The 20172-nt window shown below is 42.9% G+C and overlaps 1 pseudogene, besides 3 other annotated features; it reads left to right on the top strand.

Annotated features, from left to right (window-relative positions):
* On the top strand, nucleotides 253–310 carry RNU7-59P (RNA, U7 small nuclear 59 pseudogene; annotated as a pseudogene).
* Nucleotides 6156–7355: an enhancer, noted in NCBI's record as "P300/CBP strongly-dependent group 1 enhancer chr11:77270938-77272137 (GRCh37/hg19 assembly coordinates)". NCBI's record gives its function as "activates an origin of replication core promoter dependent on BRD2, BRD4, P300/CBP, MED14 and CDK7 cofactors, with strong dependence on P300/CBP, by STARR-seq in HCT116 cells {active_cell/tissue: HCT116}" and the evidence as "EXISTENCE:reporter gene assay evidence [ECO:0000049][PMID:35650434]".
* Nucleotides 6830–7124: an enhancer, noted in NCBI's record as "tiled region #6958; K562 Activating DNase unmatched - State 7:EnhWF". NCBI's record gives its function as "activates a minimal TATA promoter and a strong SV40 promoter by Sharpr-MPRA in K562 cells {active_cell/tissue: K562}" and the evidence as "EXISTENCE:reporter gene assay evidence [ECO:0000049][PMID:27701403]".
* Nucleotides 18036–18105: an enhancer, noted in NCBI's record as "active region_5307". NCBI's record gives its function as "activates an Ori minimal core promoter by ATAC-STARR-seq in GM12878 lymphoblastoid cells {active_cell/tissue: GM12878}" and the evidence as "EXISTENCE:reporter gene assay evidence [ECO:0000049][PMID:35858748]".

Here is a 20172-nt window from a genome sequence, read left to right as displayed (position 1 = left end):
GAGAAACAACGAATTCCCCAGACAAACAAAAGCTGAGGGAGTTCATCAACACCAGACCTGTCCTACCAGAAATGCAAACGAGAGTTCTTCAATCTGAAAGAAAAGAATGCTAATGAGCAATAAGAAGTCATCTGAAGATATAAAACTCACTGGTAATAGTAAGTACACAGAAAAGCACAGAATATTATAACACTGTAATTTTGGTATGTAAACTGCTCGTATCTGCAGTAGAAAGACTAAAAGACGAACCTGTCAGTGTTACAGCTTTTTTAGAATTTGTCCAGCAGGCTTTCTTGTTTTCACTGGAAGCCTCCCTCGCAAAAAATGAACCTGTCAAAAATAAGAAGTACAACAACTTTCCAAGATACAGACAATATAATAAGATATAAATAGAAAAAGCAAAAAGGTAAAAAGCAAGCAGATGAAGTTAAAATGTAGAGTTTTTATAAGTTTTCTTATTGCATGTTTGTTCATTTGTTTATGCAACCAGTGTTAAGTTGTCATCAGCTTAAAATATGGGTTGTAAGATATTATCTGCAAGCTGTATGGTAACCTCAAATTGAAAAACATACAACAGATACATGAAAAATAAAAAGCAAGAATTTAAAACATACCACCAGAGAAAATCACCTTCACTACAAGGAAGACAGGAAGAAAGGAAAGAAGGAGGTGAAGACTACAAAACAACCAGAAAACAAATAAAAGGCAGTAATAAGTTCTTATCAATAATAACATTGAATATAAATGGACTAAACTTCAATCAAAAGACACAGAGTGGCTGAATGGATTAAAAAAACAAGACCCAATGATCTACTGCCTGCAAGAAATATACTTCTCCTATGAAGACACATAAACACTGAAAATAAATGGATGGAAAAAGAAAGGGCAGGAGTAGCTATATTTTTTTAAGACAAAATACATTTCAGGACAAAACCTATTTTAAAAAGACAAAGAATATTATTGTAAAATGATAAAGGGGTCAATTTAGCAAGATAATAACAGTTATAAAAATATATGCACTCAACACAGGAGCACCCAGACATATAAAGCACATATTATTAGAGCTAAAGAGAGAGAGAGACCCCAATGCAATAATAGCTGGAGCCTTCTACACCACATTTGCAACATTGGACAGATCATCCAGACAGAAAATCAAAAAAGAAACATCAGACTTCGTTTGCACTATAGACCAAATGGACCTAATAGATATTTACAGAACATTTCATCCAACAGCTACAGAATACGCATTCTTCTCCTCAGCACTTACATCACTTTTGAGGATAGACTATATGTTAGACCACAAAATAAGACTTTAAAAATTGAAAAAAAAAGCCAGACTTGGTGGCTCACGCCTGTATTCCCAGCACTCTGGGAGGCCGAGGCGGGCAGATCACCTGAAGTTGGGAATTCGAGACCAGCCTGACCAACATGGAGAAACCCTGACTCTACTAAAAATACAAATAAAATGAGCTGGGTGTGTAGGCGCATGCCAGTAATCCCAGCTACTTGGAAGGCTGAGTCAGGATAAGCGCTTGAACCCAGGAGACGGAGGTTGTGGTGAGCCGAGATCGCACCATTGCACTCCAGCCTGGACAACAAGAGTGAAACTCCATCTCAAAAAAAAAAAAAAGAAAAAGAAAAAATTGAAAAATAATTGAAAAAAAATAAATTATATCAGGTATCTTCTCTTACTACAATGGAATACAGCCAAAAATCAATAATAAAAGGATTTTTGAAAACTATACAAACATATGGAAATTAAACAATATGCTCCTGAGTGATCATGGGTCAATGAAGAAATTAAAAAAGAATTTTTAAAATGTCTTGCAACAAATGAAAATGGAAACACAACATGCCAAAACCTATGGGATACAACAAAAGCAGTATGAAGAGGAAAGTTTATAACAATAAGCACCTACATTTAAAAAAAAAACATCAAACAAACATCCTAATGATGCATCTTAAAGACCTAGAAGGCCAGCTTGGTGGCTCACACCTGTGGCCCGCACTTTGGGAGGTTGAAGTGGGCAGATTGCTTGAGCCCAGGAGTTCAAGACCAGCCTGGGCAACATGTCAAAACCCCATCTATATAGAAAATACAAAAGAGAGAGAGAGGGAAAGAGAGAGAGAGAGAGAGACAGCGAGCTAGAAAAGCAAGAGTAAATCAAACCCAAAATTAGAAGAAAAGAAATAATAAAGATCAGAGCAGAAATAAATGCATTTGAAATGAAGAAAACAATACAAAAGATCAACAAAATGAAAAGCTGCTTTTTTTTTTTTTTTGAGACTGAGTCTTGCACTGTTGCCCAGGCTGGAGTGTAGTGGTGCGATCTCGGCTTATTGCAACCTCTGCCTCTTGGGTTCAAGCAATTCTCCTACCTCAGCCTCCCGAGTAGCTAAGATTACAGGCACCTGCCACCACGCCTGGCTAATTTTTCTTTTTCTTTTTTTTTGTACTTTTAGTAGACACAGGGTTTCACCATATTGGTCAGGCTGGTTTTGAACTCCTGACCTCATAATCCACCCACCTTGGCCTCCCAAAGTGCTGGGATTACAGGCGTGAGCCACTGCGCCTGGCCGAAAAGTTGCATTTTTGAAATGATAAACAAAAGTGACAAACCTTTAGCCAGACTAAGAAAAAAAGAAGTTCCAAATGAATAAAATCAGAGATGAAAAGGAAGACATTACAACTGATACCACAGAAATTCAAACTTCGTTATAGACTACTATGAACAACTGTATGCCAATAAATTGGAAAAACCTAGAAGAAATGGATAAATTCCTAGACACCTACAACTTACCAAGATCGAACCATGAAGAAATACAAATCCTGACTAGACCAGTAACAAATAATGGGATTAAAGGTGTAATAAAAGTCTCCCAGCAAAGTAATGCTCAGAGCCCAATGGCTTCGCTGCTGAATTCTACCAAACATTTAAAGAAAAACTAATAACAGTCCAACTTAAGTTATTCCAAAAAATAGAGGAGGCAGGAATACTTTTCCAAACTCATTCTATAAGACAAGTATTACCCTGATACCAAAACCACACAAAGACACATCAAAAAAAGAAAACTAAGGGCCAGTATCTCTGGTGAACATTGATGCAAAAATCTTAACAAAATATTGGCAAACTGAATTTAACAACACATTAATAAGATCATTTATCATGACCAAGTGGAATTCATCCCAGGGATACAAAGATGGTTCAACTTAATCAATGTAATACATCATATCAACAGAATGAGGGACAAAAATCATGTGATCATTTCAATTGCTGCCAAAAAAGCATTTGGTAAAATTCAACATCCTTTCATGATAAAAATCCTCAGCAAACTGGGTGTAGAAGGAACATGCCTCAACACAATAAAAGCTATATATGACAGACCCACAGCTGGTATCACACTGAATGGGGAAAAACTGAAAGCATTTTCTCTAAGTTCTGGAACAAGACAAGGAAGTCCCCTTTCACCACTGCTATTCAACATAGTACTGAGCAATCAGACTAGAGAAAGAAATAAAAAGCATCCAAATTGAAAAGAAAGAAGTCAAATTGTCCTTGTTTGCAAATGATAAGAGCTTATATTTGGAAAAACCTAAAGACTCCACCATAAAACTACTAGAACTGACAAACAAATTCAGTAAAGTTGCAGAACACAAAATCAACATACAAAAATCAGTAGCATTTCTATATTCCAACAGTGAACAATCTGAAAAAGAAATAAAGTAATCTTATTTATAATAGCTACAAATAAAATATCAAGGAATAAACTTAGCCAAATAAGTGAAATATCTCTACAATGAAAACTATGAAACACTGATACAAGAATTGAAGAGGACACCCAAAAAGTGAAAAGATATTCCCTGTTCATGAATTAGAAGAATCAATATTATTAAAATGTCTATATTACTCTAAGCACTCTACAGATTCAGTGCAATCCCTATCAAAATATAAGTGACATTCTTCACAGAAATGTAATCCTAAAATATATATGGAACTGCAAAAGACCCAGAATAGCTAAATCCATCCTGAGCAAAAAGTACAAAACTGGAGGCATCACATTACCTGACTTCAAATTATACTACAGAGCAATAGTAACCAAAACAGTATGGTGCTGGCATAAAACCAGACACATAGACCAGTGAAACAGAATAGAGAACTCATAAACAAATCCATATAACTACAGTGAACATTTTTGACAAAGATGCCAACAACATACCTTGGGGAAAGGACAGTCTCTTCAATTAATGATGGTGGGAAAACTGGATATCCATATGCAAAAGAATGAAACTGGACTCCTATCTCTCACCATATACAAAAATAAAATTGAAGTGGATTAAAGACTTAAATCTAAGAACTGAAACTATGAAACTACTAAAATAGAACATTGGGGAAACTTTCCAGGGGTATTTTGTGGGTCTGTCATATATGTCTTTTATTTGTAGCTATTGGGTAAGGATTTCTTGAGTAATAGCTCATAAACACAGGCTACCAAACAAAAATGGACAAATGGGATCACATCAAGTTAAAAAGCTTCTACACAGCAAAGGAAACAATCAACAGAGTAAAGAGGAAACCCACAGAATGAAAGAAGATATTTGCAAACTATCCATCTGACACGATATGAATAACCAGAATATATAAGGAGCTCAAACAACTCAAAGGGAAAGATATAATAATCTGATTAAAAAATGGATAAAAGATCTGAATAGACTTTTCTCAAAAGAAAACATACAAATGGGAAACAGGTATTTAAAAAGGTGAAATGCAAATGAAAACTACAATGAGATATCATCTCACCCTAGTTAAAATTGATTTTATCCAAAAGATAGTCAATAACAAACACTGGCACAGATGTGGAGAAAGGGGAACCCTCATACACTGTTGATGGGAGTACATATTAGTTTAACCCCTATGGAGAACAGTATAGAATTTCCTCAAAAAACTAAACATGGAGCTACCATATGATCCAAGAATCCCATTGCTAGGTATATACTCAAAGGAAATCAGTATGTTGAAGACATATCTGCACTCCCTTGTTTACTGCAGCACTATTCACAATAGCCAAGATTTGGAAGCAACCTCAATGTCCATCAACAGATGAATGGATAAAGAAAATGTAGTATATATACACAATGGAGTACTATTCACCCATAAAAGAGAATGAGATCCTGTCATTTGCAACAACATGGATGGAACTGGAGGACATTATATTAAGTGAAATAAGCCAGGCACAGAAAGACAAACTTCTCATGTTCTTACTCATTTGTGGGAGCTAAAAGTTAAAACCATTGAACTCACAGAGAGTGTAGAGTGATGGTTACCAGAGACTGAGAAGGCCAGTGGGTGAGAAATGGGGATGGGTAACATATATAAAAATATAGTTAGATACAATGAATAAGATCTAGTGTTTGATAGCACAACAGGGTGACTGCAGTCAGCAATAATTTGTCGTATATTTTAGAATAACTGAGGGAGTACAGTTGGAATGTTTGTAACACAAAGAAAGGATGAATGCTTGAGGTGATGGATACCAATTTATCCTGATGTGGTTACTACACATTGTATGCCTGTATCAAAATATCCCATACACTCCATAAATGTATACACTTACTATGTACCCATAAAAATTAAAAATTAAAAAAATAATTTCTCTAGCTTTATCTTACATGTTTTACCACCAGCTAACATATATAACATTAATAATTAACATCCCAGGAATAATCCAGTACTGAAGTCCCAATGCTCCACCAAGTGAACCTTGCCCTCCCATGAAAGAACACTTTAAGAAGCTACTGACTTACTCACCATTGCTCTAGTGCAGTACTACCACCCTTGGCCCTGGGCAGACAGGGCCCTGTCACCCTCCATCCCGCTGTGGAGTACCCACCTTGAAATTTTAAGTTTCTCTCTTTTGACTGGGACAGGCTGGGGCTAGTAGTGTTCTCCAGGTGGGGTGCTCTAAACTCAGTTTCTCCCCTTCAAGTGCTCTCTAACCTTCTTCCTAGTGCATGGGGTCAAACAGATGTCCTGAGGAGCTGTAGAACGTGTGCCTATGGAATGGTCTCAGAGCCCAGTGGCCAGGCCACATTTCCAAAAGGACAGCCTGTGGGGCAGATCACTCCTGCTGGCTAGCACAATATTATTTTACTGGCTCATGTGAAGTTGGACCATTAGGATGGTGCCGATGCAGATTTCGGTTGACTGTCACAAGCAGACACTGAGCTGCTATACCTTAGCACTTTGTTGATCTTCCCCCTCACATATCTTGGAATTTCTGCTCCTTCTCTACTACTGACCTTTTGGCTTGGGCTGCATGTGTGGGCCTGTCCACTGACTCTTGCCTGTGTACACTGTGACACCTCCTATCCAGAGCACTCTTGTGCAGATGGGCCACTCATCTATTCTGCCTGCTGATGAAAGGGAAGGGTTCCACTGATACTGAGGAAGATTACATTCAAGGAAATGCAATGATAACACCCTAATGAGTTCAAGAGAAGACATAGTTGGAAGGTGAGTCATGTGGTTGTGCCATAAAATCTGAAATGATAGGCTGGGCATGGTGGCTCATGCCTGTAATCCCAGAACTTTGGGAGGCCCAGGCGGGGGGATCACCTGAGGTCAGGAGTTCGAGACAAGCCTGACCAACATGGAGAAACCTTGTCTCTACTAAAAATACAAAATTAGCCAGGCGTGGTGGTGCATGCCTGTAATCCCAGCTACTCGGGAGGTTGAGGCAGGAGAATTGCTTGAACCTGGGAGGCAGAGGTTGCAGTGAGCCGAGATCGCACCATCGCACTCCAGCCTGGGCAACAAGAGTGAAACTCTGTCTCAAAAAAAAAAAAAAATCTGAAATGATAATTTAACATTACCAGAAAAGTAGTTATCATTTCCATTCAGACTCTGGATAAGACGTGCATTTGTGTTAGTCATCAATGAAGCATGATAACAATCTTTATAACAGAGCCACTGGAGCCACGTGCTTATGGTGGATGATTCAGTGTCATGAGTTAAAGGTTTTGAGGATCAGCAGAAGCCAAAAGGTCTATATTGCTTCAATACAAACAGGTTCCAAGCAGTCATGGCATTGTGAGTAATAACAGCATTGCTACCTTCTTCAGGAGTAGGAGCCATGAAACCAGCAAGGAATGGTGCATTTGAAAATAAAGAACATAAAAAGGTGGTTCTCAAACCAGAACAGAAAGACACGGCACCTGGACACTACAAAGAATCTTCATGCGCACTGACTTGACAACAAATACCTGAATACCTCTTCTATACTCATTCTAAATCTTCATCAGTAAATCACCATAGCTCACATGAGCTCATGAGTTTTGCAATACATTTTAAAACATATTGTTAATATTAACATTCCCCCCACCCGTACACACACCCACACACACTGGCCCAGGGCCTTGCACACTCCAGGGAAATAGTTTTCTGTGGAAGGTGGTGGCAGCAAGTTTGCACCCCCCTCCACCCCACCACCCCTTGGGGCATTTGGCATTGTCTGTAGACAGTTTTGATTGTCACAGCAGGTGGGAGCGGGCATTGCTACTGGCATCTAGCAAGCAGAGGCCAGGGATCCTATGAAACATCCTGCAGTGCACAGGACAGCACCCAGGACAAAGAATTGATTTGGTCCCAAATGCTATTAGTGCCAAGATTAAGAAACTCTGTTAGGGCATCCCTGTTCTAGTAAACTTATTCTTAGGCTTATCTGTTCCCCTACAGCAGTGTTTTTCAAAAGGAGCCACAGACCACTGCCTCAGACTCACATGGATGTCATTTAAAATGCCTACTTGCTGGGCACAGTGGCTCACACCTGTAATCCACTTTGGGAGGCCGAGGCGGGCGGATCATGAGGTCAGGAGATCGAGACCACAGTGAAACCCCATCTCTACTGAAAATACAAAAAAAAAATTAGCCAGGCGCGGTTGTGGGCGCCTACATGTAGTCCCAGCTACTCGGGAGGCTGGGGCAGGAGAATGGCATGAACCTGGGAGGCGGAGCTTGCGGTGAGCCGAGATTGCGCCACTGCACTCCAGCCTGGGCGACAGAGCGAGACTCTGTCTCAAAAAAATAAAAAATAAAAAAATTTTAAAAAATAAAATAAATAACATGCCTACTTACAGATCCTTACTCAGATCTCTGTGGATGGGGTCCTGGAATAAGCTTCCAGTGATTCTTGAAACCGTGAGAGCTGGTGCTCTGGAAATGGCCTTGGCCACCCATCTAGATTCCTTTACCCGGGTGTTTGTTCATTCTCTCAACGAATATGAATTGGGTGCCTAGTCTGTGCCAGGCACTGTGCAAGGCGCTAGGGACAGATGAAGTCTCTCTCTTCAGGTGCTTAAGTTGGGGCAGGGAGCCAGAAAATAATAAACATATAATATGAGATGAGTGGTAGAGGTGCTGCAAATTAAAACTACACAGGTCAAAGGGGATAGAAAGGGACTGGGGATGGATTTGTGTGTTTGTGCTACTTTGTGAGAGTATCTAGGGGAGCCTTTCAGGCAGAGGAACAGCAAAAGGGAGGAGGCCAGTGGGCAGAGCAGGGTGAAGGAGAGGCATGGTGTTGGGAACTGAGGCCAGAGAGGGAGCTGTGTATCAGGTCACCCAGGGTCGGCCGGGTGAAAAGTCCAGGGGTAAGAGATAAGCAGAATTGGAGGATACAGACTCTGATAGGATCTTGGAATGCTGTGAGTAATGGGGAAACTGCTGGGGGTGGTGGGGGGAACTCAGTGATAGGGGTTTTGCATTGCAACACCCACAACAGCACAAATGTTTAAGTGGAGGAACGTCTGGCCACATTTGTTAAATGCCTACAATTTGCCAGGAATTTACACACGTGTTCTAATTTGAACTTACAACAATACTATGAGATGAGTGTTACTGTCCCCATTTTATAGAAGGAAATTTCAGACCCAGAAAAATTAACCTGACAAAGATTATACACGACAAGTTATTAGAAGGAGGGCCGGGTGTGGTGGCTCATGCCTGTAATCCCAGTACTTTGGGAGGCCGAGGTGGGTGGATCACAAGGTCAGGAGTTCGAGACCAGCCTGACCAACATAGTGAAACCCCGTCTCTACTAAAAATACAAAAATTAGCTGGACATGGTGACATATGCTTGTAATCCCAGCTACTCGGGAGGCTGAGGCAGGAGAATCGCTTGAACCTGGGAGGTGTAGGTTGCAGTGAGCTGAGATCGCGCCACTGCACTCCAGCCTGGGTGACAGAGCAAGACTCCGTGTCAAAAAAAAAAGGAGAGGGCCTTATTATTTGATCCTTAGAGGACTTTATTATTTGATCCTCAGTTCTTATTTATTTTCTTGTGTTGCTGTCATTGATTCCTTCTTAGTGTTAAATTTGAAGAAAGAAAATGATGTTACCGGTAGGAAGGCACTGGAAAGATGGCAAAACAGCAGGTGTGGGTAGAGTTTCATGTGCGGGGCTGTCCTCGCTGTTGGTTACTTACACACTTGGCCTGGCCCAAAATGCCACAAGATGGCAGCATCTTAACCTCATTTGTTTGGTGGTCATTCATGCTCCACAGTCGACTTTTTCAGTATGAAGATACTGAATAAAAAATAGCGCTTTGGGAGGCCAAGGCAGGAGGATTGCTTTAGCTCAGGAGTTCAAGACTAGCCTGGGCAACATGACAAAACCCCATCTCTACAAAAAATATAAAAACTGGCCAGGTGTGGTGGTGCGTGCCTGTAGTCCCAGCTACTTTGGAGGCTGTGGTTGTAGTGAGCTGAGCTCATGCCATTGCACTCTAGCCTGGGTGACAGAGCTAGACTCTGTCTAAAAAAAAGATGGTTACAGCCCGTATTTAGAAGTGGAGCCATTATAACAAGAAATATGTATCTGGAAATAGAGTGAAAGCCCCTAAGTTCACGGAAATATTTTACCCATTCACAAGCGTTAGGCATTTGCCTCCATCCAAGTAAGGAAGATTTAAAAAAATCATTTTCAATGCCATGTGAGAGTTATGCAAAATAGTAGAATGCAATAATTTCAAGTTTCCATTTGGGGCAGCAGACAGACCTGTGTAAAAATTCTAGCTCTGACATTTAGCTACATGATGTTGGGCAAATGAAAATCATTTCAAACTTATTTCTTCATTTGTATAATTCCTACCCCTTAAGTTAACTGTGAATATTAAATAGCACACATAGAGCTCTAGGTGAAGTGCTTGACACCACTCAATGTGTAGTAGCCATTATATAATAATTATTTATTGTTGTTTTTCTCTAGCTTCCTAATGCCAGAATGGTAGGAAACCTTAGAGATTATCTAGTCCAATGCCTCTCCATCTTGGATGCACTTTGGAATCACTTGGGGAGCTGAAAAAGTCTGCTGCCCAGGGTCCCAGCCCGAGGCTCTGGTCTGGGGTACAGCACAGGCATTAGAAGACAGTCTCCTCTGTCACCCCAGGCTGGAGTGCAGTAGCAAGATCATGGCTCATTGCAGCCTCGACTTCCTGGGCTCAAGCCATCCTCCCACCTCAGCCTCCCCAATAGCTGGGACTACAGCTATGCACCACCATACCCAGTTGAGTTTTGTATTTTTTGTAGAAATGGGGTTTTGCCATGTTGCCCAGGCTGTGAACTGAGCTCAAGCAATCCACATGCCTTGGCTTCCCAGAGTGCTGGGATTACAGGCGTGAGCCACCATGCCCGGCCCATTTGGATTTCTTAAAGCTCTCTGGATGATTCTACTGCCAGGCAAGGTTTCAGAGCCCCGACACCGGGCAGTGGTCGACTTGTGGTTTGGTAAGAGAATTTACCGACAACAGTATAGGTTTGAAAAAAGGAAAGTTTATTAGAAAGGAAGAATGTTGCAAAAGGGTGCAGCAGGGTGCGTCAGTGAGAGGACTGAGAGCGCTGCCCTCCATGGGTTTTTCCTTTGGGGTATTTATGGTTGTCAAATGAGTTTTGGCATTCCAGAGATGTATAGAAATTTTACTTATAAGTTTTTTGGGGGGAAGGAAATCTGAAACCAGAACCCTGCTTTAGATAATAGGAAAGTCCTTTTGGTGCTATCTTGGCTCACTGCAACCTCTGCCTCTTGGGTTCAAGCAATTCTTGTGCCTCAGCCTCCCGAGTAGCTGGGTCTGCAGGCACCTGCCACCAAGCCTGGCTAATTTTTTTTTTTTTTTGTATTTTTTTTAGTAGAGACGGGGTTTCACCATGTTGGCCAGGCTGGTCTCAAACTCTGACCTCAGGTGATCTGCCTGCCTCAGCCTCCCACAGTGCTGGGATTACAAGTGTGAGCCACCATGCCCCGCAGGGAAGTCTAATTACTTCTAATTTTCTCCCAGATAAGGAGTTTTGCCTCTGTATGGCCTCTTTGATGGTCACCAGGTGGTCTTTCTTCCCTTCTAAATTCCTCAGATTAGGAGTTTTAGTCTCTGGGACCTGTTCAGTGGTCACCAGGTGATTTTCACTCTCCTCATTTTCCCCCAACCAATATTTTGGTCAAATCTTTGACCCTTTAATTCCCCCGTGCTCATGTCTACCTACTGCCTATTGGTGTTACCCGCATCTGTGTGAAGAGACCACCAAACAGGCTTTGTGTGAGCAATAAAGCTTTTTAATCACCTGAGTGCAAGTGAGCTGAATACGAAAAAGGAGTCAGCAAAAGGGGAGAGATAGGGGTGGGGCAGTTTCATAGGATTTAGGTAGGTAGTGGAAAATTACAGTTAAAGGGGGTTGTTCTCTTGTGGGCAGGGGCAGGGGTCACAAGGTGCTTGGTGGGGAGTTCCTGAGATTCATTGCCCAGGAGAAGGAATGTCACAAGATCAGTTAGGATGGGGCAGGAATAAATCACAGTGGTGAAGTGTCATCAGTTAAGGCAGGAACTGGCTATTTTCACTTCTTTTGTGGTTCTTCAGTTGCTTCAGGCCATCTGGATGTATACGTGCAGGTCACAGGAGATATGATGGCTTAGCTTGGGTTCAGAGGCCTGACATTCCTGTCTTCTTATATTAATAAGAAAAACAAAACAAAATGGTGGTGAAGTGTTGGGGCGGCGAAAATTTTGGGGGGTGATATGGAGAGATAATGGCAATGTTTCTCAGGGTTGCTTTGAGTGAGATTGGGGCAGTGTGGGAACCTAGAGTGGGAAAGATTAAACTGAAGAAAGATTTTGGGGTAAGGGGTGATATTGTGGGGTTGTTGGAGCATTTGTCATATAGAATGATTGGTGATGGCCTGGATGCAGTTTTGTACGAATTGAGAAACTAAACAGAAGACACAAGTCCAAATAAGAGAAGGAGAAAAACAGGTATTAAAGGACTAAGAACTGGGAGGACCCAGGACATCCAATTAGAGAGTACCCAAGGGGATTTAGCGTAATTATTTTCTTGGTTGGCGAGTTTTTGGGCTCTATCCTTGAGTTTTTTATGTTGTCATATACCAGGCCAGACTGATTTAGGTAAAAACAACACTCTTCATTTAAAAATATACAGAGTCCTCCTTTTTTAGCAGTAAGTCGAGGCCTATTCCTGTCTTCTTATATTAATAATAAGAAAAACAAAACAAAATAGTAGTGAAGTGTTGGTGTCATGAGGGGAACAGGAAGCTGTTTGCTAGCTGCTTCTTTAGGTACCTTATCAGCATAAGCATTGTCCTTAGTGATGGGATCTGATGCCCTTTGATGCCCCTTGCAGTGAATGACCCCAGCTTCCTTGGAAGTAGAGCAGCTTTAAGAAGAGTTTATTTATTAAGGAGGCATTAATAATGGAGGACCCTTGTGTAGTGAGGAAACCTCTTTCTGCCCATATAACAGCATGGTGGTGAAGGATGTGGAAGGCATACTTGGAATCTGTATAGATATTGACACGTAGTCCCTTTGCAAGAATGACAGCTCAAGTTAAGGCAATGAGTTCAGCTTGTTGAGAGGTAGTGGAAGCGGGCAGGGCCATAGACTCAATGATAGATGTGGAAGACACTATAGCATAGCCTGCCTTTACTGGTGATTGGTGACTGGGCCTGGAGGAACTACCATCAATAAACCAAGTGTGGCCTAGGTGGGGAACAGGAAAGAGGGAAATATGGGGAAATGGGGAGAATGCCATGTGGATTAGAGAGATACAGTCATGGGACTCAGATGTAGTATCAGGAATAAGATGAGAGGCTGGATTGAAGTCTGGCCCAGGAACAATGGTAATTGTGGGAGATTCAACAAATAGTGAGTACAGCTGAAGGAGCCGGGGGGGCGGTATAGGCATCCAACATTAGGAGGAAAATAGATTTTGAAAGTTATGGGAACTGTAGAGAGTAAGTGGAACATAGCTTGTGATTTTGAGGGTCTCTAAAAGTATTAGAGCAGCAGCAGCCGCCGCATGCAAACATGAGGGCCAGCCTAAAACAGTAAGGTCAAGTTGTTTGGACAAAAAGGCTACAGGGCTCAGTCCTGGTCCTTGTGTAAGAATTCTGACTGCACAGCCCTGCACTTCAGCTGTGTGTAATGAAAAAAGTTGGGATGAGTCAGGGAGAGCTAGTGTGGGAGCAGTCTCTAGAGCTGTTTTCAAGGAATGGAAAGAGGAGTGGGGAAAGGATTTAGGATCTATGGGGTCAGCTAGGTTTCCCTTTGTGAGTTTATATAATGGTTTTGTTAGGATGGCAAAACCAGGTATCCAAAGGCGAAAGTATCCAACCACGCCCAGGAAGGAAAGGAGTTGTTGCTTTGTAGAAGGGGTTGGGGTTTGAGAGATTAGCCGGACATGATCGGCAGGGAGAGCACATGTGTTTTCATGAAGAATTATGCTGAAGTAGGTAACGGGTGGAGAAGAAATTTGAGCTTTGGAGGGGGATACCCAATATCTCTTGGAGAATAAATGTTGAAGGAGCTGGAGTGTGTCTTGTTGAGAAGATTCAAAGGAGGGGCTACAAAGTAGAAGGTCATCAATATATTGAATAAGGTGAGAAGCACATGGGTGGAAATAAATTAAATCATGAGAAAGAGCTTGGCTGAAGTAATGAGGGCTGTCCCTGAAGCCTTGCAGCAGTACAGCCCAGGTAAGTTGCTGAGACTGATGGGTGTCAGGGTTAGTCCAAGTGAAAGCGAAGAGAGGCTGGGATGAAGGGTGTAAAGGAATGGTAAAGAAAGCATCTTGGAGATCCAGAACAGAATAATGGGTTGTGGAGGGAGGTATTGAGGATAGGAGAGTATATGGGTTTGGCACTATAGGATAGATGGGAAGGATGATTTGATTAATAAGGTAAAGATCCTGAACCAACCTGCAAGACTTGTCCAGTTTTTGGACAGGTAGGATAGGGGAGTTGTAACCCTTTTAAAGCATGCCATGGGATGGGATATTGGCATTGAGTGGGGTAAGGGTGATTAGGTTTTAACAGGATGATAAGGTATGCATGATTGGTCACCAAGGAGGGAGTAGAGGTATCCCATAATTATGGATTAAGGTAGGGAGATACAAGGGGAGGATGTAAAAGAGGCCTTGAGTTGGGTAAAAGTGCAGCAATGAGATGTGGCTGTAGCCCAGGAATAGTCAGGGAAGTAGATAATTTGGTTAAAATGACTCGGCCTAATAAGGGAACTGGGCAGGTGGGGATAACTAAAAAAGAGTGCATAAAAGAATGTTGTCCAAGTTGGCACCAGAGTGGGGGAGTTTTAAGAGGTTTAGAAGCCTGGCCGTCAATACCCACAACAGTTATGGAGGCAAGGGAAACAGGCCCTTGAAAAGAAGGTAATGTGGAGTGGGTAGCCTCCTTATCAATTAAGAAAGGGATGGACTTACCCTCCACTGTAGCAGTTACCTGAAGTGTCTGTGATGGTCCAGGAGGCTTGCGAGGCGATTGGGCAGCGTCAGTCCTCAGCTGATAAGCCGAGAAGATCTGGGAAGGAGTCAGTCAGAGAGCCTTGGGCCAGAGTTCCAGGGGCTCTAGGAATGGCTGCTGGGCAAGTTGGACAGTCTGATTTCCAGTGGGGTCCTGCACAGATGGGACATGGCTTAGGAGGAATCCCAGGCTGTGGGCATTCCTTGGCCCACTGGCCAGATTTCCAGCACTTGGAGCAAGATCCTGGGGGAAAAAGTCCAGGAGGAATGCCTGACTGCTATGGTTTAGGCGTTTTGAAGTTCTTATGTGCTGGAGATGTGGCTGGGGTTTCTCTCACAGTGGAGGCAAGTAATTGCAATTGAGAAATACACTGCCGCTCGGCTGCCTCTTCTCTATTATTGTACACCTTGAAGGCAAGGTTAATTAAGTCCTGTTGTGGGGTTTGAGGGCCGGAATCTAATTTTTGGAGCTTTTTCTAATGTCAGGAGTGGATTGGATAATAAAATGCATATTAAGAATAAGACGGCCTTCTGGCCCCTCTGGATCTAGGGTGGTAAAGTGTCTAAGGGTTGTTGCCAAACAGGCCATGGACTGGGCTGGGTTTTTATATTTGATGAAAAAGAGCCTAAACGCTAACTGATTTGGGAGAGGTCGGATAAAGAAAAAGGAGCATTAACCTTGACTATGCCTTCAGCTCCAGCCACCTCTGTAAGAGGAAATTGTTGGGCAGGTAGGGGAGGGCTAGCCACGGAACGAAACTGTAAGCCGGACCGGGTGTGAGGAGGGGAGGTGATAGAAGGATTATAGGGTGGAGGAGCAGAGGCTGAGGAAGAATTGAGATCTGGCTTGGCCTGGCGAGGAGCAGCCTGGGGAATGGGGAAAGGTCAGATGGGTCTGTAGAAAAGGAGGATTCAAAGGGCTCAGAGCTTGGGGTGGAGCCTGAAGGAACAGACAGGAGAGAAAGAAGAAAGATTTGGGACGAGTCATATTGGGAGCAGAGACTAGGGAGGGACCAATGTGTAAAGAATGCTTAGACGTCAGGCACCTCAGACCATTTGCCCAATTTTCGACAAAAATTATCTAGGTCTTGTAGGATAGACAAATCGAAAGTGCCATTCTCTGGCCACTTGGAACTATTTTCGAGTTTGTATTGGGGCCAAGTGGTATTACAGAAGAAAATAAGATGTTTAGGTTTTAGGTCAGGTGTTAGTTGAAGGGGTTTTAGGTTTTTAAGAACACAGGCTAAGGGAGAAGAAGGGGGAATGGAGGGCAGAAAGTTGCCCATAGTGAAGGAGGTAAGTCTAAAGAGAAAGGTAGAGACACAGGGTGGAGGGCAGGGGTGAGCAGCCCTGGGCTGTAATATGGGTGAGCAGCCAAAGCAGGCATCCCCACAGTTGACTTACCACCAAGGAAATGTGGGTAAATGACCAAGGCAGGCATCCCCGCAGTGATCAGACACCAATGGAATGTGGGTGAATGATCAAGGCAGGCATCCCTGCAGTGATCAGACACCAAGGGAAGACTGTCTTCCTAAATTTGTGACCGACGTTGGAGTTTTTGAGTTCACGGATAAAATGTGTCTCCTTTGTCTCTGCTAGAGAGGAAAAAGAGCTGGAATTGGAAGCACAGGGAGACTGAAGGGTAGTGAGAGAGGCTGGAGAAGAGAGTGAAGAGACCACTTACCTGATTTGAAATTGGTGAGATGTTCCTTGGGCTGATTTCAGGACCCAAGGTCGTAGGTGGATCTCCTCAAGGAGTGAGGGCGAGGACAGGGGACCAGTCTCCTGAAGGAATCCCCCTGTCCCAGGTCTTCAGCACCAAATGTTACATGCGTCCGTGTGAAGAGACCACCAAACAGTCTTTGTGTGAGCAATAAAGCTTTTTAATCACCTGGGCGTAGGTGGGCGAATCTGAAAAAGGAGTCAGCAAAGGGAGAGAGATGGGGTGGGACAGTTTTATAGGATTTGGGTAGGTAGTGGAAAATTACAGTTAAAGGGGGTTGTTCTCTTGTGGGCAGGAGTGGGGGTCACAAGATGCTTGGTGGGGAGCTCCTGAGATTCATTGCCCCGGAGAAGGAATGTCACAAGGTCAATTGGTCAGTTAGGGTGGGGCAGGAACAAATCACAGTGGTGGAATGCCATCAGTTAAGGCAGGAACTGGCTATTTTCACTTCTTTTGTGGTTCTTCAGTTGCTTCAGGCCATCTGGATATATATGTGCAGGTCGCAGGGGATATGATCACTTAGCTTGGGCTCAGGCCTGACAATTGGGGTCTCAAGAAAGGGAAAACACCACAGTGAAGAGGAGTGTGGAGTCTGGTTACTTCCTGCTGAAAGGGGGCATTGAAGGGATAGGTTGCATTTTTTCCTTTCTTGCTCTGTCATGAAGGGAATGAAGGGTCACGAAAAACTCGTTCAGGACAGGGAAAACCGGGTTCCATCAAAAGGCCCCATGCAAATGGAAGTTGCTGTTACAGGCTGGTATTGGGATTGCATAGCCATCTGTAGGTGGAATCTTTGCAATCTGGAAGATATAAATTTAATGAGCATGTTAAAAAAAAAAAGCAGGGATCAGATATTAAAAGAAGAATGACAAGGAACAAAGGTCCAAGGAATGGGAGAAGCCAAGTGATTTTTGGAAACCAATTAGTAAAAGTTTTGGTCCAGTCTTGGTTACTTTGGGAAAGTGTGTGTAGTCATTTAGCTTGTTTGAAAATTTCTTGGACATCAGTTTCCACTTCTCCGGACACATTAATGTAGGTGCAACAGGTTTTGTTGATGACAGCAAAGACTCCTCCCTCTTCAGCTAGGAGGTAATCCAGAGCACATCTTTTACCAAAAACCAGAGGAACCAGATACCTGCTTTGGAAAGTAGGGAAGTCTAATTACATCTAATTTTCCCCAGATAAGGAGTTTTGCCTCTGGATGGCCTGTTTGATGGTCACCAGGTGCTATTTGCTCCCTTCTAAATTCTAAATTCTCAGGTAAGGAGCTTTTTCTCTGGGGCCTGTTCAATGGTCACCAGGTGATTTTCAGTCTCCTCATGTACTAAGTAGCCAGGGTAGAGAATTATTTCTCCAGACCAATACCCTCACTGTACAGATGCGAAAGACAAGCCTGGAGAAAATGAAAGTGATTTGCCTGGTGACATGAAATCAAGAACTCAAACTGAGGTCTGCTGACTCCTAGTCATGGGTTCTCTCAGCACTCGACACTGCCTTGGCCTCACTTCATGTGCTTCCACAAAGGCTCAGCCCATACCAGGTCCACCCCGGTGTCTAATCCACAGCAATGCCAACAACAATGTGAGTGTTTATTATTGTGCTACTTTACATATATTATCTCTAATCCAAACAACATGCTTTCAAGAAAGGTGAGCATATCCCCATTATAAGAGGAGGAAGCTGCTGCTCAGAGACTTTAAGAGAGTAGCTAAAGTCACAGCTAGTGAAGACAGTTCAGAATTTGATGCAGTCTTTTGGACTCCAAAGCCTACGCTGTTTAGCTACACTCACCTCCATCTGTTCCTGCTCCATCTTACCTTCCCCAGGTTATTTCTTCATCAAGAGCTAGCTCTAATTCTACTCCCTCCCCAAAAGCCCTTCCACCCCAGACCACAGGGATCCCTTCATTGACTCAACTTTCATGGCAATAATCACCTGCATTAGCTGTTTGGCAAAGTCTAACTCACATTGTAATTTATTTTGTCGTGTATATTACTTGCTTCCTTATCTCTGAGGCTGAGAAAGAGAAGACGCTTCCTCTGTGTTTCTGTCCTTGCCCTGTAGCTGTGTTGAGTTGTGTTGATATTGCAAGAGCATAACATTTAGTCTGTTATGAGATTCTGCCCTTAGAAATACCTAGGGAAGGGATGCCTGTAGGCCCAAGCGGAGTTGAAAATTCAAAATGAAGAAGAACAGCGTTCTCTTCGGGTTCAGATTTGTAGTAATATTTATTCTCTTTTCCATAAGTAAGCCTCTAGGTGGCAGTCGAAAGCCTAGTTGTGAGAGCGTGAGTGTCTCATAAATGAAGTCACAAAATCTCAGGCTGAAAGGAGTTTTTCTCATCTAACTACCAATTCAAAGCTAGAATTCCCTCCCTGACATAACAACAACTATGGCAATATTTCTTCCATCTCAGGGGCTGGTGATGAGAAACTCCCTTTTTTCGAAGCACTTTTTCCATGTGTGGTCAGTTTATTAGAATATCGTTCTTGATTTTATGTGAAAACTGCTTCCTTGTAGCTTCTACCTACTCCAGAAAGAAACTAAGTGTATCTGGGCCTAGGGATGTGAGAACAGCAGAGTCTGAAGATCTGGAGAGCGTTTGACTGGCTCAGAGAAGCCTCCTTTTCACTTCTATTCTTCCCAAGGGCTTCTCCCCAAGAGCCTGGACTTCGTTTAGCCAAACCCACTTTCTCTGATCAAAATAACAAAGAGGCCAGGGCAGGCGGTTCATGCCTGTAATTCCAGCACTTTGGGAGGTTGAGGTGGGCTGATCATTTGAGCCCAGGGATTCAAGACCAGCCTGGGCAAAATGGTGAGACCCTGCCAATAAAAAAAATTTAAAAATTAGTTGGACATGGTGGCACATGCCTGTAGTCCCAGCTACTCAGGTGGCTGAGGTGGGACGATGGCTTGAGCCCAGGAGGCAGAGGTTGCAGTGAGCCATGATTGTGCCACTGCACTTCAGCCTGAGCAACAGAGCAAGACCTCATCTCAAAAAAATAAAAATAAAATAACAAAGAGAGATTAATACTGCACTTCCTGGTCTCAAATGTATTCTTTAGAAATATATAGGACAAGGCCAGGTGTGGTGACTCACGCCTAGCACTTTAAGAGGCCAAAGCAGGTGGATCCCTTGAGCCCAGGAGTTTGAGACCAGCCTGGACAATGTGGCAAAACCCCATCTCTACAAAAAATACAAGAACTGGCCGGGTGCAGTGGTGCGTGCCCAGTTACTCAGGAGGCTGAGGTGGGAGGATGGCTTGAACCTGGGAGGCAGAGGTTGGAGTGAACCGCGATTGCAGCCTGGGCAACAAAGTGAGAGAAAGAAAGAGAGAGAGAGAAAGAAAGAGAAAGAAAGAAAGAAAGAGAGAGAGAGGAAGGAAGGAAGGAAGGAAGGGGAAGGGAAGGGAAGGAGGGAGGGAAGGAGGAAGGGAAGGGAAGGAAGGGAGAGAGAAAGAGAGGAAGGAAGGAAGGAACAAAGGAACGGAAGGAAGGGAGGGAAGGAAACAAATATATACACTGACTATGTACCCACAAAAATAAAAAATTAAAAAATTAAAAGAAATGAAAAAATGTATATATAGAACAAACAAGTGTCTCTTCTTCTAGGGATCTAAAGACAGAGATTGAGTCATCCA

Source organism: Homo sapiens, chromosome 11 (assembly GCF_000001405.40).
Source record: "Homo sapiens chromosome 11, GRCh38.p14 Primary Assembly".
Classification (NCBI taxonomy): Eukaryota; Metazoa; Chordata; class Mammalia; order Primates; family Hominidae; genus Homo; species Homo sapiens.
Note: the sequence above shows the minus strand (reverse complement) of the source record. Positions and strands in the feature narration are given on the sequence as shown.